This window comes from Homo sapiens, chromosome 5, assembly GCF_000001405.40.
Source record: "Homo sapiens chromosome 5, GRCh38.p14 Primary Assembly".
Lineage (NCBI taxonomy): Eukaryota > Metazoa > Chordata > Mammalia > Primates > Hominidae > Homo > Homo sapiens.
Window position 1 is genome coordinate 168,925,109 of NC_000005.10, and position 26,188 is coordinate 168,951,296.

The 26,188-nt window shown below is 44.7% G+C and overlaps 1 protein-coding gene across 3 annotated transcripts in view, besides 1 other annotated feature; it reads right to left on the reverse strand.

Moving 5' to 3' along the window:
• The window catches only part of SLIT3 (slit guidance ligand 3), a 639,400-nt gene that overhangs the window by 263,369 nt on the left and 349,843 nt on the right, over positions 1–26,188 (reverse strand). The gene's annotated exons all lie outside the window — the stretch shown is intronic.
• Positions 25,664–25,713: a silencer, noted in NCBI's record as "silent region_16600". NCBI's record gives its function as "represses an Ori minimal core promoter by ATAC-STARR-seq in GM12878 lymphoblastoid cells {active_cell/tissue: GM12878}" and the evidence as "EXISTENCE:reporter gene assay evidence [ECO:0000049][PMID:35858748]".

Consider the following 26,188-nt stretch of genomic DNA (forward strand, 5'->3'; position numbering starts at 1 on the left):
AAGTAACAGAAGCCATTATAGACAGTTTAAGCAGGAAGTCCAACAATTTGGTAAGCATCTGTCAATTCTGTAGCAAAAGACAAACTTGTACATGCTGACAAACTTGTTGAATGGGCTCGGGGAGCAGGTTCCAGTGAGCACCTCTGGGAGTAACTTGCAGGAATAGCATTGCAGAACTGACGCACCAAGGGAGCTGCTACTATGCACAAGCTGGGGAAGTGGGAAGCAGCCACCCCAGCTGCCAGATCTGGAGTTAGACCATCTGAGCTGCCATGTGGAGATTCTAAATCTATATCCAGAGCTGTAGCTCCAGAGCGACACCATGACTTGCACCAGCAAGAGGGTTCCCTGGCAGGTCTCTCTTCCCACCTAACTCATTTCTCTATTCCAGTCTTCTGCCATCACAGGCAGATACTGAATCACAACCACAGCCCTGGATGCAGAGGAGTCTGGGGACTGTCATTTCTAGCATTCCCATCTCTGCAGGACCAGAAGGTAGATGAGAAAGATGCCACAGTGGATATTGAGTAAGGCAATCTGTAGTCTCTGCCCTGTTAAAAAAAAAAAAAAAAGAGGGGGAGGTGTTGTTTCCTTGACTTTACAGAAATGGAAGCTGAGCTCCTGAGGGTGAGGTGCTCTAGGTTTGCCAACTCTAAGCTCCATTGCTTTTTCCAATAAAAGGAAAGAGAATGTCGTTTGTTATATTTAAAGGCAGTAACAAGTGAGGTATTAGTCCCCTAACTACCAAAACAACACATTTCAGAGCTCAGCCGGTTGCTGAGAAACTGATGAGAGTCAACGGACAAGGGATAGCCCAGGAACCCAGTCAGGTAGAATCCTGGAATCTCCACTGTTTGTTTCAGCATCTCACCACTCAGAAAGTGATCTACGGAAGGCATGTTTTCATCCACAGGGTTCTCAGTGATAACACTGCTTTTCTCTTGGGAGCGGTGCCTCGGAATTCAGGATAGCCAAAAAACTACAAGCTATGGTTCCCAGAGCAGGATGGATGTGTCTATCTATCCAACTGTGGGGAAAGGTGTGCACTACTCAGAAAGTGATCTACTGAGGGCATGTTTTCATCCAACAGGGTTCTCAGTGATAACACTGCTTTTCTCTTGGGAGCGGTGACTTGGAATTCAGGATAGCCAAAAAACTATAAGCTATGGTTCCCAGAGCAGGACGGATGCGTCTGTCTATCCAACTGTGGGGAAAGGTGTGGGTATGAGGTCCTGAGAAGGGGCTCATTTCTCTAAGAGAGAACATATATCTTCAATTAGAGGGACTGCAGTTTTTCGGGAGTGAGTAGACAGTAATTATTAATTATTCAGATAACCATCACCACTGCCTTAGTTCCAGCTCTCACTATTTCTCAGCTGGACCATCACAAAGCCAACTCCCTGGGAGCCCTACTTTGTGTTTCTACCAGTCAATTCATCTTTCCTACCGGCAGACCTATATTTCTACAATCTGGATCTAACCGTGTTAAAGCCCCGCTTAAAAACCTTTTAGCTTGTCATTGCTTAAAAGATAAATCCCACTCAACAGCAACAACAAAACAACATGATTAAAAAATGGGTAAAGGACTTGGATAGACTTTTCTACGAAGAAGACTTGGATAGACTTTTCTACGAAGAAGACATACAAATGGTCAACAAGTGTATGAAAAGGTGTCAACATCATTAATCACTAGGGAGACACAAATCACAATCACAATGAGACATCAACTCACACCTATTAAGATGGCTACTATCAAAAAAAAAACAAGTGTTGTCAAGGATGCAGAGAAATTAAAATCTTTATGCACTGTGGGTAGGAATGGAAGACAGTGCAATTGCTTTGGAAAACAGAATGGTGGTTCTTCAAAACATTAAAAAACAGAATTACCATACGATCCAGCAGTTCCACCTTTATGTATATACCCCCCTAAATTGAATGCAGAGTCTTGAAGAGATATTTGCATACCAAAAACAGCATTATTCACAACAGCTAAAAAGTGGAAGCAATTCAAGTGTCCACTGATGGATGAATGGATAAACATTTGGTATATACATATAATGAGATATTACTCAGCCTTAAAAAACAGAAGGAAATTTGGACCCATGCTAAAACATGGGTAGAACCTTGAGAACGTTATGCCAAGTGAAATCAGCCAGTCATAAAAAGACAAATACTGCATGATTCCACTTACATGAGTACCTAGAGTAGCCAAATTCACAGAGACAGAGACTAGTAGTTTCCAGGGTTTGGGGGTAGGAGGGGATAGGGAGTTTTTGTTTAATGGGCATAGAGGTTCAGTTTTGCAAGATGAAAAGGGTTCTGAAGATTGGTGGTACGACAATGTGAATAGACTTGACACTACTAAATTACATACTTAAAGATGATTAAGATAGTAAATCTTATGTTATTTGCATTTTATCACAATCAAAAAAGAGATAAAAGTCCAAGGTACCTGGTGTGGCATTCAACACCGGAGACCCCTGGGATCCAATCTGCTCTTAGACTTCACCCACTGCTTCTTCCTAAAATCAGCCATACAGCCATTCCTGGCACTCACCATGCCCGTTCATGTCTCTGTCTCCCTGAGCTGCTCTACATCGCAGGGCCCCCGCCCTTACCATGTAGCTTGTCAAAACTCACAATTACATCACATATGTCCTTGACCATTGAGATTTTGCCTGCAAGAATGTCAGGGCCATGACATAGGGACATTAAATATTATTACATACTGCAGGACTGGGTGCCTATGATGAATTGGATAACTGAGACATGTTTAACAGCCAGTTCAAATGTCATTTCCTTTCTTCAGCTTTTCTCAGCTGCCCTAGCAGGATGGATCTCTGCTTTATCTGGCTTAGTTTGTCCCTTTTTGAGCTGCCAGCACATCACCTATCCCACTGCATTCCCGTTAGCGTGGATGTAGCTATTCCTCACATCAGATGAAGACCTTCAAGTCAGAGATCATACATTATTAAGTGTTACCTTCCCAGTACCCAGGAGAGTGCTTGACAAATAACAGGTACTCTTTGTTTAATGTGGCATGTTCCAAATTTTTGCAGTTTTTTTCACCTTCAGGATTTGCGTCGTATTTACAAATACTCTTCCCTTTAAAATTGGCTCATATGTTAAAAACTGCTTTAAGAAGAAAATAATTTAGGAAGGAAATACCAGTAAAAATAAAGATTTTAATATGCTAGTTATATTTTGCTCTATTATGCATTAAATGAGTAATGATTAAATTTTAGAACGTTCTTCTGTATAGCACTAAAATTATGACTGTCATTATTTGAAAAACAGTTGTTTAAACAAGAACCACCGTGAGAGTTCACACTCCTCGGGTGTCCCTTGAGGATCTCTGGCAAGGACCAGGTCTGGGGCCAAGTCCCAGGTCAGGCAACAAAGGCTGCCGTGTATGTCGTCTCTGCCTACCTTCCCTCCTTCTGCCTGGAAAAGTGGCTCAATAGGTCACTGCCTGCCTCTTTGTGTATGTGCAAGTCTTTCTAGAAGGAGGAAATACCAAAAACCTTTAAAAACATATCTCCAGTGTTTAACATTCTACAGTCTTTTTTGGAGGACTGAAATTTTTTAAAAAAGCATTTAAACAGGAATGGCTGTAGTTAATACTGTAGGTACTACTTTACTTAAAATAGCACTTTTAGAGCCAAGGCACTTTCACACCTATTTCTCCCATTTTCATGATATTTCTGGAAGGAAGCTGAGAAGTGGGCAGAATTTTATGGATAGAGAAAGTAACCCAGGCTGAGATAATCCAAGCACCTCTGCTGAAAGTCCCTGGGCTAGTCTGCCTCTGCCTCTTGGCGTAAGACTCTTCCCATTAGGTTATATATGACTGGCCCAGACTCAATAATGAATAATTATTCATAAAAATGTTAAGTAATAACGATGATAATATAATAGCCAGTACTTGGTGGATACTTATTCCTAGGCATTATTTTAGGAACCTGTTCAATCCTCACAACAACCCTGAATTAGGCACTCTAATTGTGTCCATTTCACAGATGGGGAAACCAAGGCTAGTAGAGCTTGGGTCACCTGCTCAGGGTTACAACAGCAAGTGCTTCCCAACTCTACCTTAAACCATCGGATAAACCATTTTACCCCCAAGTGTGGAAATGCTATTATTAATGTTCCATAATAATATTAAGAACAGTTATTATTGTTGCTGTTATAATGGAGATAGCTAACATTTACTGAGGACTTAACATGAGCAAAATACTGTGTTAAACTTTTTATTTTATGTGATTTAAATCATTTAATCACCATGACAATCCAATGAGTAGTTGCTATCATGACCTTCCTTTTACTGATGAGGAAACTGAGGTACAGTGCAGTTAACCAGCCTAGCAAAAGCTGTTCATAATTACACAGAGGTAGAGGCAAAATTCAAACCCAGGGATGCTCTGGAATCAAGGCCAGCATGGGCCAGAGAAGAGCAGAAAGAGAGGGTCAATTCTGCACAATTGGAAATGAGACTTCTTGGAATTAAAACTTTCCTTGGCTAATCTGGAGGGATAGCTGTCTCTGTTGAGTGGCAGGTTATTTATCTGAAGTCTACCTGAGAAGTCTATTTGTACATGAGCAGATAGTAAAACCTAGCACCTATGGGGAAAAGAAATGAATGGGAAACTGCAAATAGTTCATACTGGCTCGTGGGCTGTAGCTGAAAGAAGGTGCTATGGAATGCATATGGGCCACGGGGACATGGCGTGGGCCGGCCTCCACAGCAGAGGAGGCGGGTGTTTCCCCAAAGTCAGGCTCCAGCTGGCCTGCCTTATTCTGTGGGGTGTCCTTCCTCGGGGACCACATCTACCTTTGAGCTCAGTGTCTTAGGACTCAGAGCTTAAGGAAGGCAGACTTAGAAGAGACTCAGTGAGCCCACGGACTTGCAGCATAAGTCACTCCCATGAGACAGAGGTGAGGTCCTAGTCAGTGTCACACAGGCCAGGGAGGTCTCACCTGCATTCCTGGGGAGAAGTGACAGTTCAGATTCCTGGCCATTTCTCTAGGTGAAACAGCACCTCGGGGAGTGAGGACTGGGAATTTAAGTGTCTTCAAGTGATTCTTATCCCTCCTACCTTTGACACCCCATGGCCCGCATTTTTGCCAAAAGAAAATTTGGCTGGAAAGTGGGGAGAGCCATACGCTGTAAGGAGGGCTATCAGTGAGGAGGAGAGTAAACCCTTGTTAATTTTCTCTACACAAGCTTGCCAGAGAAAAAGGTGTATATTCAAGCAAACAATAAAAATAGGCAGACACATTTGCATGCTGAATGGTTTGCTGTTTGAGGCTCTGAAGTCAGGCAATCTGGTTTCCAATCCGGAGTCTGCCATTTCTAGCTGTGTGACTTTGACCAAGTGATGTAAACCCCTCCCAGCCTTAGTTTCCTCATCGGGGCAGTAGAGATAGTAATTGCTCCTACTGTAGGTGGGGAGGCTCTGAAGAGATAAAACATGCAGAGGGCTGAGTTTAGTGTCTGGCACATAATAGGTACTCAATGAATACAGACCCTTAGCACAGTACTGCTGTTATTATGATTAGGAAGGAAGTCTGTGGCCTGGAACCCCTCTCCATCATGTCTAGAAATAGGCCTGGAGAGCGCTTGGCAGCTGACACCTGTGGCTCAGTTCACATGAGAAGCTAAGGTCCGGTTCTGGAAACTCTCAAACCAGCAGCCCCCCGAGAGGCCTGATCCACCCAGGACACTGAGTCCCTTGGCCACTTTCTTGGTGCCACATGCCATGAGTGATGTGCCTCCTAGACAATAACCTGTGGGCTTTTGGACCCAGTGAAGATGAAACATCCTATTTCAGAGGATAAATACCGCAAATCCACAGAGAGCCTGCAAAGCCTCCTGGAACGTCACAGGTCTGGCAATGCCACTGCCTTCGTCTCCCCCTCTCCTGATAACCTGCTGACAGCCAGCCCGGCCCAACACCCTCCTGGTCCCTGTCAGGGAAAACTCGGGGGACTCTCTCTAATTGTCTTATTGGTATAGCCCATGATTTGGGAGGAAGTAAACAAAGGCATAGATCAAACTCCCTAGGGAAGTCAGGGAAGTTGCTGTAAAGGTGCTTGAAAAAGAGAAAGAACGCATTTAATTTCATTTTCCCCTTTATCTTATATTATGTATGGACTACCTTTTACCTGGCAATTGCCTTTTCAGAAAAAACAAGACAAACAAAACCAAAATCTGCAAGATGAGGGAGTTGGAATAACAAATAGTTGACTGACTGATCTTTCTATCCATCCGTCATACAAATGTTATTGTCCATCTTTATGTGCAAGACACTGTGGGAGTATCTGGGGATTCAGGGGTGAGCAAAAGAGAGACATGGCCCCTGGTGTCACTGAGCCTAAGGTTGAAGGGGGAGAGTGACCTTTACTCCACTTGCTCCCTCTGCAAAAATCTCAAGTCACAATTTTAGAGATCTGATCAAAGCTCTCTTGGAGAAGGAAAGGGAAAGTGTGTACTGAGTATACGATGAGGGGATAGGACCTAGGCTGGGTGCCGGAGGGTGGGTCAGGCAATCTCACGGCTGCAGGCCCAGCCTCCCAGCTTTCATAGCTCTGTCCCTACATTGTGCTAAGTAAGTGTCAGTGAATAACACAGTGACTCATAGCAAGTAGGTGTATGATGAGGGTGTCTACTAGCACACACCACTGCACAGGAAGAACTGCCCGTGATATTCTGTCCTGAGTTGACTCCCGGAGGTTCCTTTTGCAATAACCACTTTAGTAGCTCCCTAGAGATGTCTGTGTCACGTACCCAAGAGCTGAAGTCAGACTTCAGAAAATGCTCCTTGACGCTCTACTCTTCTGAGTAACAGAACTGTGGGGAAGGGAATCCTAGCTCCCTCTGTAGTGAACCCTGACTCTGCCAAGTCTGTAGCCATCACAAAGTCCCAGATGGGATGGTGGTGTCAAACATGGTTGGATTAAGACCATGCTTTATCACTAAGAACCACAGGCTCTTCATAAGATGGAGGCTGCCCACCGCAGAGATTGTGGCTGCCATATGCCAGGTGCTCCCTGGTAAGCAGCCAGGACCTGTTTGGACGATTTCTCCTAATTCAGCCCCAAATGCCAACTCCCTACCCATTCCTGACACAGTTTTTTTGTTGTTGTTGTGTTTTTTTTTTTTTTTTGGTACAAGGCACTATATATTTCAAATCATTCTTCTGGACCAGATAAAAAGAGGAAAGGGAAGAGGGGAAAAAGACACACACACACACACACACACACACACACACACACACACACACTACACACACCCTACACACACACAGAGATTTCTTCTTTGTAATTTTTCTCTTTCCCTAGGAGACAGAAAGACTAGGAGGTAGGAGGAACAGAAGTCCCTTGCTTTCTTGGTTTGTAAAATTTTCCAGTCAAGTCCTAGTGTACTCACCTCAGCCAGCCAATCAACGTATGTAAAGGTAGATAGTATAGATAAGCGACTGCCCAGGGACACCCCGTGGGGCAGCCTGGTGGGCAGCCAATGGATTAGGAAGGAAACAGGACTGCGGTCAGATCCCAGCAACTCCATATCCTAGCTGTGAAACCCTGGCCAAATTCTTACCCTCATAGTTTGTTTCCACATCTGTAAAACGGGAATGCCTGCCCCGTAGGGCTTCTGTGAGAATTAAGCACACATCTAAACCACACTGTGCATGTAAAGACTAGCAGCCTAGGCTACGATTTGAGTATCGCCCCACCTACAGCTGAACATCGCACAACATGCATAACCTTGTGTGGTAGTCTGGCCCATAGAAAGAGCTCAGTCAGTAGCCACTATTATAAGATACAGTCCTTGTCTTCGGAAGCTTACACTGTAACTGAGCTTTCCACATGAATAATACTGGCAAGCATACCAGGGAAAGAGAAAGCATTGCCAGCTTACAGAGGTGAACAATATTCACTATCAATGGATCAAGAGAAGCTTGTGGGATTGAAGAGAACACAGCATTAACAAAGATGCAAGGCAGAGATGTGCAGGGGGGTGGTGAAATAAGGAAATGGGGCTGAGGGTGAGGGTATTTAATAACATTAGCATATGAGAAAGGACTTTAAGACCTTAGCCCACTAAGGATTTCTGATCAGCATCTCTGCTAATTCTTAAAACAGCCAGAGGAGGCTGGGCGCGGTGGCTCAAGCCTGTAATCCTGGCACTTTGGGAGGCCAAGGCGGGTGGATCATGAGCTCAGGAGATCGAGACCATCCTAGCCAACATGGTGAAACCCCATCTCTACTAAAATACAAAACATTAGTGGGGCATGGTGGTATGCACCTGTAGTCCCAGCCACTCAGGCGGCTGAGACAGGGGAATTGCTTGAACCCGGGAGGCGGAGGTTGCAGTGAGCTAAGATGGCACCACTGCACTCCACCTGGGTGACAGAACAAGACTCCATCTCAAAACAAACAAACAAAAAAAACAGCCAGAGGAGGTAAGAACTGTGATTCCCTTTTTAAGTATGAGGAAATTGAGGCTCCAAAGAGCTGGGTACCTTCTCCTAAAAGCGTGGTTAGTAAGTGCTGGAGCCAGAACTTGAGTCTAGGGTCTCTAGCTCCGAAGCATTGATGTGAGTAAAGGGTTGGAGAGAAAACAAGGATAATCTTGGTTGAGACCCTGGAGGTCGTCAAAGGCCAATGGGAGAGTTTGGATTTTTATTGAATAAGCAATAAAGGAAAAGAAGATCTTCAGCACAAGAGTGATGCGCTAACAGATGATTTAAGAGGAGGAGCCTGGCTAGGAAGGGCTGAGTGGCCTGTGGAATACAGAGGGGCAAGAAGGAGTTCATCCTTCATTTATTATTCAACCAATACTTCTTGAGCAGGGTACTAAGCTGGTGCTGCTTGCCCAATTCCTCCCTTTCTGACTGAGAGCCTGCACTCTGCTCTAACAGGCCGTGGTGGCTCTGGAGTTGTGGCAAATACACAAACTGCCATGTTCCTTAGGGAGTGATGGGCTCCACCTGCTTCCCGGAAGCCCACCAGGATTTCAGCTTTATTGTCCTCTAAAGAGATCCATTTGCCAAAGAGGGAGAACGCTCCTCGTAGATGGCACAGCAGTAATCACCTGCCATCAACTCCCCAAAGGAATAATTAACCTATGGGAAGCATCTTCCTGAGGGAAGAGACTGGAGAGCTCAACAGCCTGATGATTTTGAGCCACCCAAGTCTGGCTTTCCTCTTTGCTGGTTGAGATTCTACTTAAATAGCCAGTCTTTAAATGATCCAGTCAATGATTCACATTTTCTCTGCAGGGGGTGGAACTATGGGAGAGAAATTGCTAATTCATTTACTCATCCATTAATTCTACTGATAATTATTGACTGTATTGTGGGAAGAAACAGAGGACAATCTTACAGTGTCTGCCTTCTGTGGATGTCAGGCTGGTGGAAGAGACAGGCTGATACCACAAGATGATGGGAAAGGCACGCGGCTGTGGGAGCACACAGGATCACAGCAGCCTTCCTACTAGAACTGACATGCAAGTTCAATCCCCAAAGAAGAGCAAAGGCAGCCTTTGAGACTGGGGAGGAGTGTTGTAGGAAAGGGGAGCACTTCTGCAAAGGTCTGGAGGCAAGAGAGGGTCTATTTTGGGAATTAGAACAACAACAATACTTGCTGCCTATTCCTGAACACTTATTGTGGGTCAGGCATTATGTTAAATGCTTTATGCATGTTACCTCACATATCTTCAAAAATGAAACAAGAAGGCTGGGCGCGGTGGCTCACGCCTGTAATTCCAGCACTTTGGGAGGCCGAGATGGGCGGATCACAAGGTCAGGAGCTTGAGACCAGCCTGGCCAACACGGTGAAACCCCATCTCTACTAAAAAAAAAAAAAAAAACAAAAATTAGCCAGGCATGGTGGCGTGCACCTGTAATCCCAGCTACTTGGGAGGCTGAGGCAGGAGAATTGTTTGAACCCGGGAGGTGGAGGTTGTAGGGAGCCGACATCGCACCACTGCACTCCAGCCTGGGTGACAGAGCAAGACTCCGTCTCAAAAAAAAAAAACAAAAAAAAAAACCAACAACAAAAAAGAATAATAACCCTATTAAAGAGGTATTGCCCTCATTTTTCAGATGAGAAGTTGAGACTCAGAGAGGGTAACTAACTTGTCTGAGGGCACACTCTAAAATGTGGTGAAGTTGGGATTCATTTTCTCTCTCCACTTCCTAAAGTCTGAACCACTACACTGTGCATTGAGGGCCTCTGGCCACACCCCCTCCAGGAAGCCTTCCCTGACTTCATCAGCCTGCAGGGATGATTTGTTCCTATTGTGGTCAGCTCTGGATTCCATCTTATCTCTACAACCAGAGAGTACCTTCCTCAAAGTCAGGGAATGCAGCCTCCATTCTTTGTTTCAGTGTGTTCATTCATTCCGTTAATTATACCATAGCACCTCAATAAGTATTAATGGATTGACCATTCTTTGGTCATGACGCCACACTGATGAAATGATCCTTTTAAGTGGAAAACTCTGTTGGATCTACACATGCCTCTAACTCCTGGCCAAAAGGGAAGTTTGAGTGCATTTCAGCTTTCATGGTGTTTTCATAAATAGGGATATATAGGATTACAATGAGCAGGAAGAAAAGAAAGCTTCAGCACAAATCATGACATTCTGTTCTAAGCTCTTAGGGCTCTGGAGAAATTCAGAGCAATCCCATCACTGTGCTCACAGACAACTGTGGTACGGTTTCTTTGAGCAACATCCTTTGTATTTGTGTCTGATTTTTGTTTAAAGAATATTCTTTCCAAGATGGCAAACATTAAAGAAGCAAATCTGTTTATATTTGTCTGGCAACTGAAAAAATGCATCAGGCTGAAAGCAAATTTCAAACAATGCAACGAACCTGGCATACCAAAGGAAAGCTCTGAAATCCCATAGTTGTAATTAGTTTCCCCCACAAAATTAGGGCTGCTAGCCTAGGGAGAACCACGTGGATGTGAAATTAGTGAAAGAGAGCAAAGAGATTCTAACCAAAGCTGCCTCATGGCATTAAGGTACTTGGGTCCCATGACTTGTAGACAGGAAATCAACATCCACTGGGCCAAGACCAAATGCTGCACCAGCTCATTCACATGCCTTCCTGGGCCACGGTTTTTCTTCTTTTTGAGGCAGAGTCTCTCTCTGTCACCTGGCTGGAGTTCAGTGGTGCAATCTCGGCTCACTGCAACCTTTGCCTCCTGGGTTCAAGTGATTCTCCTGCCTCAGCCTCCTAAGTAGCTGGGATTACATGCGCACACCACCAAGCACAGCTAATTTTTGTATTTTTAGTAGAGACGGGGTTTCACCATGTTGGTCAGTCTTGTCTCGAACTCCTGACCTCGTGATCCACCCGCCTAGGCCTCCCAAAGTGCTGGGATTACAGGCGTGAGCCACCGCGCCTGGTAGCTTTTCCTCTTAGAGCAAGCGGCCAGTGAGAGACCTCCCAAGCAACAGTCACCACTGAGAAAGAACGAATCTCCCCAGAAGGGAGAAAATGAATGATAAAAGCAGCTGACATTATGCTGGAATAACAAGCAGGGCAGCTTTCCATATCCGGTGACTTCCTGTACTGGCCTGTTCCCAGGCTGGGTGACATGCTAACACTGACCCTTAATGGATACAGGGTGGTTGGCGTTCAGTGAAGGGAGGGGCACTGGAATCATTCAGTCATTTTATCAACCAATATATACTTATTGAGCACCTACTAGGTGCTTGTCTCATCCTAGGAACTGGGGCTACTGTGGTAAAAATTTAAGCATAATCCATGCTGTCCTGGAGCTTCTACTTTGGGGGATGTACTTAGAGATTAAACAACTATACAAATAGCTTGTTAACTATAGCTGGGCTTAGTGCAATCAAAGTGAGTTTATCACACAAGGCAGTGTATATGGGGGCAAGGATGCAATCAGAAAAGGCTTTCTGAAGGAAGTGACACCTGAGCTGGCATTGGAAGAATTCGCTGGTTGAGGACTCAACCAGGTGAAGTTGGGGGGAAAAGCTCATATGAAGCCTTGGAGTAGGAAGGAGTCCAGCGTACTGGAGGGGTAGGGAGAAGGTCAGTGCACCCAGAGCACAGAGGCCAAGGGGTGAGTGCTGGGGTCAAATCACCCAGGTCCCTATAAGGCCATGTGGGAGGATTTTCATTATCGTTTCTACCCTAAGAGAAGGTAAAACCATTAAAGTGTTGTGAGCAGGAGAGTGAGGGATCGAACATGCATTTTGGAAGACAGACATTCACTCTGTGGGAAATGAATTGAACGAAGAGAAGACTGAGTGAGTGAGGAGAGAACACTGAGAAGGGAGCAGACCAGGCAAAAGGTGGTGGCAGCCTGGCCTTCGAGGGTGGCAGAGGGGCAGAGGTGAAATGGACTGAGTATACACCTAGCAGGTCCAGTCAACTAGGCAGATCAGATAAGGGGTTGGGGTAAGGGGGAGTTGGATCTAGATGGCATTGGCCTTGTGCGGCGGAACGGGAGGCCTGGCATTCTCTGAGCCTGTGAACCTGGAAGCAACTAGGATGGTGGTAGGCGGGGATCACAGACCTGGGTGAGGATCCCAGGTCGGTCACTGATTCGCTGCATGACTTCGGGTGAGCCACATAGCTCTTCATGCACCTCAGTTTTCTTTTCTGAATAATGGGAATCTTACAGCTATCCTGTATATTTTTAAGGACTAGAATAAAGAATGGTGCCTAGCACAGCACGTGGCAAAGAAAAGACTCTAATAAACGATAGCAATTATAATCATTATGCATTTTTTTTTTTTCCCAAAGCAAACCCTCAGATTCACACTAAAGCTTCTGATCAGAAATACCTTAGGTGCAACTTCTGACTTCCAGAATGCAAGTATACAATGCAGTCATAAATCCAGGGGCTCCATCCACATGGTAGATACTGCGGATCTGTATATTTATTACATTACTTTTTCCTCAGAATACGGCAATAAATCTTGTTCTAACGTACCAATATATCACAACAATTTTCTGACAGTTGGGAGTAAACTACTTGGAGGAAGAGTGAACTTCTTCTGATACATACATTTGCTGTGTTTTGCCCATGATGGCAGAATATGAGGCAAAGAACATATTCTGGCTAAATACTAGGCAAATAAGCATCCATCCCCACCAAAAAAATCCTGCCAGCATTTAGGTGCTATTCTATGGATAGATTTTAATGATATGGATAAATCTCTAACTTTCACAGAGAATGTTTGATTCTAATAGCAGACATCAGTATGTGAGAGAAAGTGGCATTTAAACAGGAAATAGGAAAGAAATATATAGAAAGTGCCTAGCATATTGCCTGGTACTGAGAAAGTGACAGATGGATCCTTGCCTGATTGTACTGTTGCAGCAGTGGCCAATGATGATACTGTTGTTTTCTAGAACAAATACTGATACATGGGTATTGTGATTTTTAAGAGTATAAATTCAGGGTATTTAGATACAGTGATTTTATTTTGAATCTCCTTCCCCTTCTGCCTTATCCTTTTCTCTACACAATGATTATTATTATTTTTTTTGAGACGGAGTCTCACTCTGTCACCCAGGCTGGAGTGCAGTGGCCTGATCTCGGCTCACTGCAACCTCCTCCTCCCGGGTTCAAGCGATTCTCCCGCCTCAGCCTCCCTAGTAGGTGGGACTACAGGTGTGCACCACCGTGCCTGGCTAATTTTTGTATTTTTAGTAGAGACGGGGTTTCACCATGCTGACCAGGCAGGTCTCAAACTCCTGATCTCATGATCTGCCCACCTCAGCCTCCCAAAGTGCTAGGATTACAGGTGTGAGCCACTGTGCCCAGCCTATACAATGATTATATAGAGATATACCCTGATTTGGAAGGCAGAGATACTTGTTCACAGTGGAAGGCATGATAGAGCTACAGATCCACTGCAGGACAATGATATGGAAAAATCTCATCACCGGGTACATAAAACCCTGTAGGCAGCAAAGGAATGGGCGCCTTGGGAGAAGCATGCGAGGAACCGGAAACACAGACTAAAAGAACCCAATGCAGACAAAGCAGCACCAGGTCAAATACAAACCCCCTGGGCAACTTACGTAGCTGCGCTGTGGGTCAGCGCTATGATTGATGAGGAAGGGCCTTCAGGTATCACCGCTGGGCTCGGGCACATTTTACCAAAGGAAGCCAGCGTCATCAGGCCTCTGAATCACTACATTATAACACGTAATAGGGAAGAGCACGGATGTATACTGGACAAGGAATTCTGGCTGGAACTGCTGTCTGGTGAGCTTAATAGATCCCACAAATACAGCAAAACTTACACTGCAGAAGTTTGGAATTTTTGCTAACTCAGAAAGGCTTAAGATGATCTAAGTAGATTCTATAAAGGAAGGCTTAGCTAAGCAACTTAATAATGCAAACAAGATAGAGGAAGACAAGTTTCTAGAAAAACCAAGCATTGTAAACACATTCAGCAACTTTAAGAGTTCTCCTATAAAATAAGCTTCCTTAAGCACCTCGATGGGTCACAAGTTCACTTTCAGATGTACACAATCTTAAAATGCAAACAAATGGCTCTTTTTCATAGATGCTCTATAATCAAGACTTTCCACAGATGCACATTATCTACTTTTATGCAAGGGACTTTGGTACATGAAATGGAAAGCAACATTTAAGACCACATTTTATGCTATCAGTGTTATTATCCTTGTCTTAATCTTAATGCCAGTGGCTATCATGTTATTGAACACTTTCCACGTGCCTGGCACTGTGTTAAAGATTTTGTATATATTACTTAATTTAATCCTATTATCCTATTTTTATGCCTGTTTTAAAAATGAGCCAACTGAGATTAGCGGTTAAGTTCTACAGCTGTGGTTACCTAGGTAGTAAGTAGCAGAGATGGGATTGAATTGAACTGGGCTAACTCTAGGGCCCAGGCTTTCAGCAGATGGTAATACAGTCGGGGAGGATAAAAGAAAAGATAAATAAAACTGTCAGGCAATAAATGATAAGTGTCAAATGAGATGCGGGTGATAAATGCTAACAGAGGGTAATAGCCCTTGGTAAGTGCCATTAGCTGGTTTGGTAATAACAGGTTTGCTCTGTTCAAGTCTTCATCTTGAAAAAGTATGATAGCAGCCCAGGGCTTAAGAACAAGTATACTGAAACGATGAATTGTTTCTGGATGGTGCTTCTATAGTTTGTCATATTGAATGCCAGATGTCACTAGTTCTTTGTGCAGTGTGGTGATTCCAGAGAAAGAAGGTGATTCCCCATAGCTGCAAATCAACAGTTAAGAAGAACCACATCTCTGAACATACTTCCTATTATTTCTATTTAAATGACATCGCTGAGAGCAAAGAAGAAAAAAAACTAAATCTCCTAGACACATAAAATTATAAAGTATCTTTATCTTTTTTTTTAAGTAAAAAACATTTAGAGCAACTAGAGTCTTCAGATTCTTTTATAGCCTGGTCTATTTTGCAAATACCAACCATTGTATTATGGGTATCAACAAGACAAGGATGATTTAGTCCCAACTTGGAGATGTGAAATAAACCACTATGCAGGTTGCATTAAATCAGTCCTGAAATGAATCTTCCAGATATTAAATCTGGGCTTTTCGGGACAGTTTTATTTGCTAATATGCCTAATAAATTGAAAGCTGCCAGTGTTGTCATGAGATGTATACCCTGAAAATCATAACCAATGTGAAAATGCCAATCTGCAGCAACCAGATGTGGCAAGGGACAGGGTTTCCAGGAGGAGGGTGCGTGCTGTGTTTAAGTGAAGCTCTGGCTGGCATGCCCGTTTCTCCAGATGCAACCACTCAGGATCCCCCAGGACTGTTGTCATTCCTGAGTTATAGAAGCAAGGGAAACACAAGGCTCTCGGATAAAAGCAAACCAGGCCACAGGACTTGGACAATGAAAACCTAGTCAATTTTAACTTTTGAAACCTTTGAAAGACAATATTCCTGTTGTAACCTGTAGCTTATTTGTTTCTCCTTATTTTATTTTGAGGTCTCTTAAATCACCACCAATTTGTCTAAAATTTAATTTTGTTCCACTTTTTGGGGGGCTTCCACAAAGTTTGGGATTGATGACTTTCTTGTCTCCTGTCTACCCAGCGTCCTATTGAATTCTAATTGGTCTGTGGCTGAAATCAAAGATATTAGGGCCATCCATCTCTCGGCAGGAAGAACAGCAGAATCGAAGTCAGAGCTGAGTTCAAACTCTGGCTCTATATACTCCCTAGGTTAGGTCATTTCATCCTTCCCACACCTCCTTTTCTCAGCATCTAACGGGGTAAAACATACTATTTCATAGGGTTGTTTTTAGTATGAAATGGGACATTCTTTGTAAAGTGCTTAGTGCAGTGTCTGGTACATAGTACATGTTCAAGGACCTATAGCTGATATTATTTCTGCACCGTACCTAAGTATTGAAGAACAGTAGGGGATACAATTCTCCTTATCATACATTTGGGGTTCAAGACTTCTTCCCAAGTGGAGAAATGGAAATCCAGTCTCTGACTTGCCCTTTCAGGTAACTGAAGGAGGAAATTAAACTCTGCACCTTAAAATTCTCACGGATCATGATAAAAGGCTCATCGAAAGGGTGCAGAATCTGGAGTTGGACCAAAGGAAGGTTAAGCACCAGGTCTATTTGAGAGAATTTCAGAGCCCCTCTGAACATAACTTTCCTGGTCTGTATAATCATGATAATAAAATACCTACCTCATGGTGTTTGTCAGGGTCAAATAAGATTATTTACATGAAAGAGGTCTACAGACTGTTAAGCTTTGGACCCGTCTGTAACATCTCCTTTTAGCACCCAGCACTGGGTCTGGGACATAGCAAGCAGCCAATTGAGAGGCTGTCACCTTTCCTCCAGCCACCACATCTGCATCTTTTTCAGTGTTGCTGTTCGGGATGAAAGGGAGGAGTGGGGCCAGGCTAGTCTCCAGGGAGGTCACATGACCCAGGCCTGGCCAATCTGAACAGTACATCCCCCAGAAGCAGTGACTTGTTCAGGGATGGGCACATGACCAAGCTGGGCCAATGAGAATAAGCTCCAGAACCTTTACAGGAACTATTAGAAAAAGAAGCTCCTTTATCTGCCAAACTCCATGCTGAAGAGGGTAAATGAAAATGCTGGGAGCCACCATGTAAAAACAGTCTCAATGACATTATTGAGCCACTAGATCCAGCCTTGCCTGGACTCTTTGAATTTTTAGTTTTATGAGCAAGTTTCCTTTCTTTATTAAAAAAGCCATTTTGAATTAGCATTCTATTATTTGCAAATGAGAATCTCGACTATACTTCAACAGTAGATATTGTCTTTAACCTTGTTCTATAAGCTAGATATTCTTTAAGAAGTAAAAATTTGTACAAAATGTATCTATGCACATTTCTTTCTGGGGAAGAGGGGTAGACAGAATCATTAGTCTACAGCATTCTAGATTTCTGCTTACACAGAAACCTCTCTGTTTTAGCAAACTGGCTTCTGCCCTAAACTTTACTGTAACTATCCTACGAATATATGTACTTATTCATTCCACATTCCCCTTGGCCTTTCCTGGTATCTTGAATTGCTGATCACCAGATGGGCCATAAAGATGGCATTAGACATTGGCTGGTCTGGTTTTGCCTTTCAGGGCCTCTGGAGTTTGTGGGGGGTGACCAGAGCCTAGGATCAGAATGATAAATAGAGACCATCTTACTAGCCAATTTCTGACTGCTGATGGCTGCTTGGCGATTTGTTTTGAGATTTGTGGAAGTCCAAGCCTAGGCTAAGTAGAAAAGTGTGTGATGATCCATTAACAATGCCTGCAGTGGGCTAGGGGGAGGAAGCTGAGGCACTGCTGATCCTAACAAACATTTAGAGCTCAGATTTATCAGTTTAGAGTTTTAATTCTTACCAGTTCACCTAGGGGGAGTTTGAGGTCCAAGAAAGTAAGGTGCTAAGATAAATTATTAATATAAAAGATTGATTGGTAATTTACATCTTTCCACTGACACCAATATCCATGTCCCAGGATCCTAAAAGGAGCTGGGGCACTTATTCTAGGAAGATGAAATGATGATCAGTTTTCCTAAAGTAGGACAAACTGTAGTGAATACACCAGAAGAAGGGTTTGGGATAACTTCCAAAGAACAGCTCCATGGTGTTGTCTGCATGTAAAATTTTCCCGAGTTCAAGAAGGAGAAAAAAGTACTTAGCAACTAAATTAGTTGTTCAAAACTGATATCTGATACAATTCTCATAGGGAATAGAGAAAGAAAACTGATCTCAACCAGCTGGTGAATCCAAATAGTCAACTGCCATGAACTGAACGTACTTTGTGTTTAAAATGTATGTGTAAACTGAATTCATGCTAGGCTAAGAACAGCAAATCTGAGTAGTAATCTCAGTTCTGGGACAATCTAGCTGGGTGACTCTAGATTAGCTTCTCTAAGTCTCAGTTTCATTATCTGTAAAATCAGTATAATAATGCCTATTTATCCCAAAGCATTGCTGTGTAGGTCAAATGAGAAATATGAAAGTGCTTTGTAAAGCTAGGAAGCATTATGCAAGTGCAAGGTATTATATGAGTGAACACACACTCTCTCTATATGTGCACATATACACAGTTTATGAATAATATATGAGCTCCCTGTGTCTCAGATCCATTTTGATCAATAATCTCACCTCCATGCTCACACAGAACATTAGGGACAAACACCTTGAATTAGTGCTTTGACAGTAACTACAATGGCATTGAAGAATAGTGTTGAAAAAAGGAAAACAAACAGGAAACTGCTGACAGTTGCTTTAAGTCACAAACTCTATCTGAACAAAACTCCTTGGCGAATCCCTAAGCAGTAATTCAATAAACAAAGCCATTCACTCGGTTTTACCCCCACAGTCCTTGGTGGCCCAGCAGCGCACATTCTGAAGGTTCACTTTGTTATGCACAGTCCCCATCCTAGGACTAATCTTTTTATAATGAACTTAATCCAGTTAGAACTCCCTAGAATGGCCACATGTCAAAGTAATTGGATAACGGCCCGAGATTTTGTAATTATTCTTACTCTTCAAGCAGAGCTGGTTTGAGTCTGCCCACCCCTCCTATCGCTGACAACCCTTCCCAGTGATAAAGCTAATACCAATGGGGCGGGGAGAGTCAGATAGCTGTGTCTTGTGGGGCAGGGTGTTAGCAGGAGAGGAGTGAGAGAGAGACAAAGGGAAGAGAGGTGGAGAGTCAGCCACTCCTGGTAGACAATCTGTCTCTCTTAATAGGCTGCTCCTTGCAATAAAGAAATGCAGACTTCTGAAGGCGTAGGTATCTCTGCACCATGGGGAAGAACAATTAACCCAGTTGAGAAAATGGTTTTGAACAATTTTGCAGCTGCTTGGGCACTGCTTCCCTTCTCATTTTTCAATTTACCTTTCCCCCACCGAAGCATGCCATACTTGCCTCTGCTGTCCCTGTTACCCTACAGCAAAGACATAACACCTCTTTTGGGGTAGTAGGCCCAAAAAATGACCTGAAAGAGGAAGTATGGGTTGAGTCAGTGAATATGGAGTTAAGATGCCAAAACTGTCCCCTAAAAACAGAAAATTCAACTGTATAACAAAACTAAAAGGGTACCTTCCACCTCCCAGTTTGTCCATTGTCTATGGGTGAAAGTCGTGAGCAAGTGTGGGCTTGCCATCCCCTAAGCTACTTCGTATGGTGACTTGATGGCTCTTTAATATCAAATGGGCCTCTCAGTTGTATCCCTAACTTACTCTGAGGTAAGAACAGTGGCTCCATTCAATAAACCCATGCCAACCTCGTGAAGGGTCTGTACCTCCAGTTGTCCACAGGTTGCTGATGAAATAGAGATGAGTATCAGGACCCCAACTGGGACTGACCTGTGACACCCGAGGAAAGGAAGAGGAAGGAGGGAAGGAGAGGCCCCAGGGTGGTACCTGTTCAGCTCAGAAGATTGGCAACACTGACACTCAACTTCTGGAAAGGGAATGGGACCCTGCTAGCTCATGCCCCACAAAGTCACATCACACTGATAACATATCAGGGAGTTGCTTTAATGACTGACCATGCAAAACTGCATTCCAGAAAAGAAAACCAAAGGAAGATCAAAAGCTTCGTGATTGGTATCCACATTTTTTTTTTTTTGAGACAAAGTCTCACTCTGTTACCCAAGCTGATGTGCAGTGGCGCAATGCTCACTGCAACCTCCACCTCCCAGGTTCAAGTGATTCTCCTGCCTCAGCTTCCCAAGTAGCTGGGACTACAGGCATGTGCCACCATGCCTGGCTAATTTTTGTATTTTTAGTAGAGACAGGGTTTCACCATGTTGGCCAGGCTTGTCTTGAACTCCTGACCTTATGATCTGCCTACCTCAGCCTCCCAAAGTGCCGGGATTACAGGCATGAGCCACCACGCCCGGCCCAGTATCCGGTCTTAGGCAAGAGAGATGATCACACATTCTGGCCTGGCCTCTCCACAGAGGTTCTGTGTCTCCGCCTGGAACCCTCTCCACATGCTATACTTTTAATATGTTCTAGGTCTGCTTTCAGTTATTCCAAATATATCAACACTGAGAGAGAGAAAACAATCCCGACTGCTTTAGGGCTAAACTCGGGTGTTTCCTCCTCCCAACACGTGCAACAAAACGCATGCATATGTGGCTCTGTGAAGAGGCAGCCAGCGTCTTAGGGAAACCCAAAACCATGTACAAAGAAAGAGGGCAGTGGTTCCACTAGGCCTGGGCCAAATATCTCTTGATTTGTTCTAATCTTTGGGCTTGTGCTTAATGTCATGATTGGATTAGAAACAAGATTTTCCTCCCAGGCTATGAACTTGGAAAGTTTCTCGCGTACTGTTTCTAAATTCCTTGTTACAATAATAGCCGCACTCTATGTACTAAGTTTTATGTGCTGTATTCTTATTTAATTCTTACGACAATGCTAGGGGGGAGTCACATCAAATGTAGGTGGTAGCAGTGAGGCTCTGAGATGAAACAATTTCCCTGAGTTTACCTGGCTGGTTTTCAATGAGGCTGGGATTGGGACTTGTGTCTGTGCTTGCAATCACTATACACGTTGACCCTTTAGCTCTTTCTTATGGCTGCTGATTTGAGAACCTATCCAAGGGCCTGAGAGACCAAGGGAGGGGACTCAGTTGACCCCAGTCCTCTCAGCCTCCCCAGCCTCTTTGTAATAGAGAATCAGTCCTGCTGCAGGACCTACAGGACCAGAGAGCCTTAGTATCACCCACAGATGCTACCATGGGGCAGCAGCATTGGGCTGGAGACATTGGGCCCCAACCTCCCAAATGCCTGCAGATAGCCTGGGCCCTGCCTTTTCCTACTGTGCCTCCCCAAGCCCCAAGGGGCAGCGGCTGTTAGGGAGGGATTCTCATGGTCCCATAGTGTTCCCCAGCCTTGTTCACGCAGCACAACAGTGACATCCAGGGGAGAGGCTTGGTGATGGCAGGGACCACCTGGCTCCAGCATCTTCTGCAGGTTTCTGGGCTGATTTGCAAGCACAGGCCCTGAATCATCAGAGGACAGGCATCTGGGGGCTTGTGGGTCCACAATCCCCTCTGCGGCCTGCCTGGGGTCTTTCGACACCGGACACACGCTCACCCCCTAGCCCAGCCTTCATCCCTCATTCTCACCCCTTCCCTACTCTTTGCTCAGTTACTCCAGGGTTTAGAAAGGGTGTCTTCAACTTGACCTACTGGAACACACAGCTGCTCCCCTCCCCTTCGAACACCTCTCCATTTGCAAAGCCTTTTATCAGCTCCATCTGATGATAGAGAACAGGTTTCTGGAACTAAAAATTAGCTCAGTCTTTTTTTCAAAGAGAAAAGATTTCACAATTAAATGGTGAATGTATGGGGGTGTATTGTTATTATTACTATTATGTCTCACACTAGCATTTTCTAGTTTCTATATATTGTGGTGTCCCCTTTGTTTTGATCTGCATGAGAAAGTCAGTATTGTCTATGGAAGTAAGAAACATACACTGCACAAAAGGAATTAGATCCTACACACACACACATAAATATGCAAGTATTTAAACATTTAAACAGAAACCAAGGGCAATATAAACTAAAAGGCTGAAAGAGAAATGCAACGAGAGAAAAAACAGATGCTTGCCTCTGCTGGGGACTTTTCTGGGGGAACATTTGGGCTGATGCTGCCCATCACCTTTCCCTGGCCTGTGGGTGTCATCTCTGCAGACTGCACTCTGGGATGTTCCCTGGGTCCCTCGGGAGCTGCAGGGAGAGCCACCGTCTGCCGCCCTGGTGCCTGGACTCCACTCCCCCAGGCCCCTGCTCACTGCTCTCTTTGGCCAGGAGGTGGCAGTGCAGAGATGTTGCATGGGACTGTGGCCCAAAAAGGAGGCATAGGAAGAAAAAAAACAGGCTGGGGTGGTGGGCCTTGAGGATTTCTGCCCCACAGCTGTGCCCAGGTCAGGGGCAGGGCCACCTGGGTCCTGGCTGACAGAGGCACCAGGGCTGCCAGTGTGAAAAGTGGGGGCCTGGTTCTTCATACACTGAGCTGGCTTGGTGGAATCCTCCTGGAAGAATGTGCCCCACATGCAGGGCCTGAGGCTGGATGCAGACCCAAGGGCTGGGGCTGGGCAATAATGGGGAAGGAGAGCCTGAAAGGTAGTTTTTTTGTTGTTGTTGTTTTGTTTTTTTCTTTTTTGAGATGGAGTCTTGCTATGTCACTCAGGCTGGAGTGCAGTGGTACAATCTCGATCTTGGCTCACTGCAACCTCTGTCTCCTGGGTTCAAAACTCTCCTGCCTCAGCCTCCTGAGAAGCTGGGATGACAGGCATGCACCACCACACCCGGCTAATTTTTGTATTTTTAGTAGAGATGGGGGTCTCGCCATGTTGGCCAGGCTGGTCTCAAACTCCTGACCTCAAGTGATCCGCCCACCTCAGCCTCCCAAAGTGCTGGGATTACAGGCCTGAGCCACCATGCCTGGCCAAGTTGTTTTTATTATTATCCTGAAAACTGCCACCCACAGGAAGGGCAGTGAATGACTGTGTGCCACACTTTCCCTTCTCTGCCGGACCTGACGCGCCACCCCAGCAACACCCCTGCCTTGTCCGGGGCCTGATGCACTGCCTGGCACACAGTGGGTGCTTGCCCACTATTAATAGTCATGGCAACAGAAGGGCAACAGAAGCCCCCACAGCAAACGGGGGCTGTGGATTTTTGGGTTCAGAGGAGACTCAGCGAAGGAAGAGGCTCCGTTGGAACAGGCAGGGTTTAGGTGTCATGTGATTTAGGTGCATACAGAGAACAGAGCCGGAGCCTGAGGGGGCTGCAGATGGATGTGAGGCTGCAGGTAGAAACTCCCTCTCAGCACCTGAGAGAAATGATTGTGAGGTCGGGAGACACTTTGCAAGTCCTTCTGAGGCAGGTGTAAGTTGTGGAATTTTCCCTTTCTGGAGATTTTTAAGAAAAGGAAGCTTTGGTGGATTGATTTCACTGCAAGATGCAGGGCTGAGAATTTCAATTGTATTTTTTTCCCCCATTAGCAGTTGTTTGTCTCAGCAGCTCTTGCTCTAGGAACAAAGTCTAATGTGACCCCAATATTTAAAGCATATACATGGATTCTGATTAACCATGAAGAAGGCCAGAACTCTGTTATTAGGGCTGCCCCCGGGTTATTCTCTTACCCAGGATAGTGTCAAAGACATCTGTGAGCACCGCAGGGCTCTGCTAAAGTGGGTTTGGAAATCATTGGTGGGGACTAATTGTCAGGGCCTGGGATTTGGTCCTTTCTGGTCATCTGCTGAGTCAACTTTGGGTGTGTCTTCCTGAGCTATGAAGGGAGGAGTGTGGACTAGCTTAGCAGTTCCCACACCTGGCTGCCCTTCAGGCTCTTCTGCAGAGGTCGTTAAAAACACAGATGCCTATGCCCACCCCACCTCTCCAGGATCAGAACTTCCTGGGGCATATGAGCATCTGTATTTTTCATGAGTGTGTCTGGGGACTCTAACAGTCAGGTCAGCTCACCCCTGAACAAGCTGACCTGTGGGGTGAACGGAGTTTCACCTGCGGGTGTTCTGAGGCTCTTATCTCCAGGCAAACCTGACTGGATTTGGTTAAGCTAAGCTTCCCTTCCAGTAAGTGTCACTGAGCATGGGCCACAGAGAATCCTGCAGTCATGGGGACCGTTCAGCGTCTTTGCAGACAGTCCAGGAGGAATGAGACCATGAGAAATTCAAAGCAACTGGGGGCTCCATGAAGTTCATATCTGTGGTATGTCATACACATGTGGTTCCATGAAATCTCAGTCCTGGGAACGTATCACAGAGATGGTTTCACTCTTATTATAGCCAGCCTATCCTCCAGAGAAAGATTCCTTACAGAGATCTTTCAAAAGTGTGTGCTGTGACTAGATACACAAGGCCAAAAACAGCTGACCCATGTAGACAAAAGACCCAAAGAACAACTGTCAAATATACAACAGTAAAAATGAATTTTTTGTCTTGTTTTTTTTGAGGCAGGGGCTCGCTGTGTCGCCCAGGCTAGAGTGCATGGCGCGAGATTACGGCTCACTGCAGCCTCAACTTCCTGGGCTCAGGTGATTCTCCCACCTCATCCTCCCTAGTAGCTAGGACAACAGACACACGCCACCACACCCAGCTAATTTTTTGTAGAAATGGGCTCTCACTATGTTACTCAGGATGGTCTCAAAGTCCTGGACTCAAGTGATCCACCCACCTCAGCCTCCCAAAGTGCTGGGATTACAGGTGTGAGCCACCATGCCTGGCCAAGATGAATCTTTTCTAGGTTTAGATTCAGAAACCAGTGTGTAAGGTGAGGTCACAGCTAGTTAAAATTACCCTTGAAAGTTCCTTAAACCACTGAAAAAATACAGCATTGGATGGCTTTGAATATACATACAGTCTGCTGTGGTCTAAATATTTATTTCCCACCCCACCCCGCCCAAATTCATCTGTAGAGGCCTAATCACTAATGTGATGCTATTTAGAGGTGGGGAGTTTGGGAGGTGATTAGGTCATGAGGGAGGAATGCTCATGAATGAAATTGTGCCCTTATAAAAGGGACCCCAGAGAGCTGCCTTGTCCCTTCCTCCATGTGAGGAAGTAGCTGGAAGGCACCTTCTATGATCCAGGAAACACCCTCAACAGACACCAAATCCGCTGGAGCTTTGATCTTACACTTCTAACCTCCAGAACTGTGAAGAGTAAGTTTCTGAAGTTCTAAGTCACCCAGTCTATGGTATTTTATTATAAGAGCCCCAGTGGAACAAAACAAGCTCTGCATAGTCATATGTGCATGTTAATATATAGAGCAGAGGAAGAGAAACGTTTTCTTAGAAGGCCAGTCAATACTTTAGCCTTTGTGGGCAACATACACAGTCTCTGTTGCCACTCAATTCTGTTTCTAGGAAAAAAGCAGCCATTGATAGTACCAAATGAATGAACTCTGTTTCGATAAAACTTTATTTACAGAAACATTCTGTGGGCCAGACTTGGCCTAGGGGCCAGTTTCCCAGGCCATAGTTTGCTGAACTTCTGTTACAAAACATAATAAAGAGGGGGAAAACCCATTTTACAAAAAAATACCTGCCTCAAAACATTACCACGTAAGGATGTGAAAGTAGGTCTGAAGAGCAGATTCATGTTTTTACCTCAGACTCACCCTGCACATACGCTGACCAAAATGGCAGTTGCAATTGCCCAGTATATAAATGATTTATCTGCCTCTCATGGCTCAGCACAGTGTCGGATTCCATAAGTTGCATACTAGCCTTCACAATTCGATATATAAATATGAAAACAAACACCAAACCTGAGCCAGGCACAGTGGCTCATGCCTGTAATCCCAGCACTTTGGGAGGCCAAGGCTGGTGGATTACTTGAGGTCAGGAGTTGGAGACCAGCCTGGCAACATGGTGAAATCCCATCTCTACTAAAAATATGAAAATTAGCCAGGCATGGTGACAGCTGCCTGTAATCCCGGCTACTCAGGAGGATGAGGCAGGAGAATTGCTTGAACCTGGGAGGTGGAGGTTGCAGTGAGCCAAGATTGCACCACTGCACTCCAGCCTGGGCGACAGAGCAAGACTGTCTCAAAACACGAAACAAAACAAAACCCATCAAATCTATTTAATTTCAGTGAGTTATAGTGCATCTTATAGATTCAGCATACA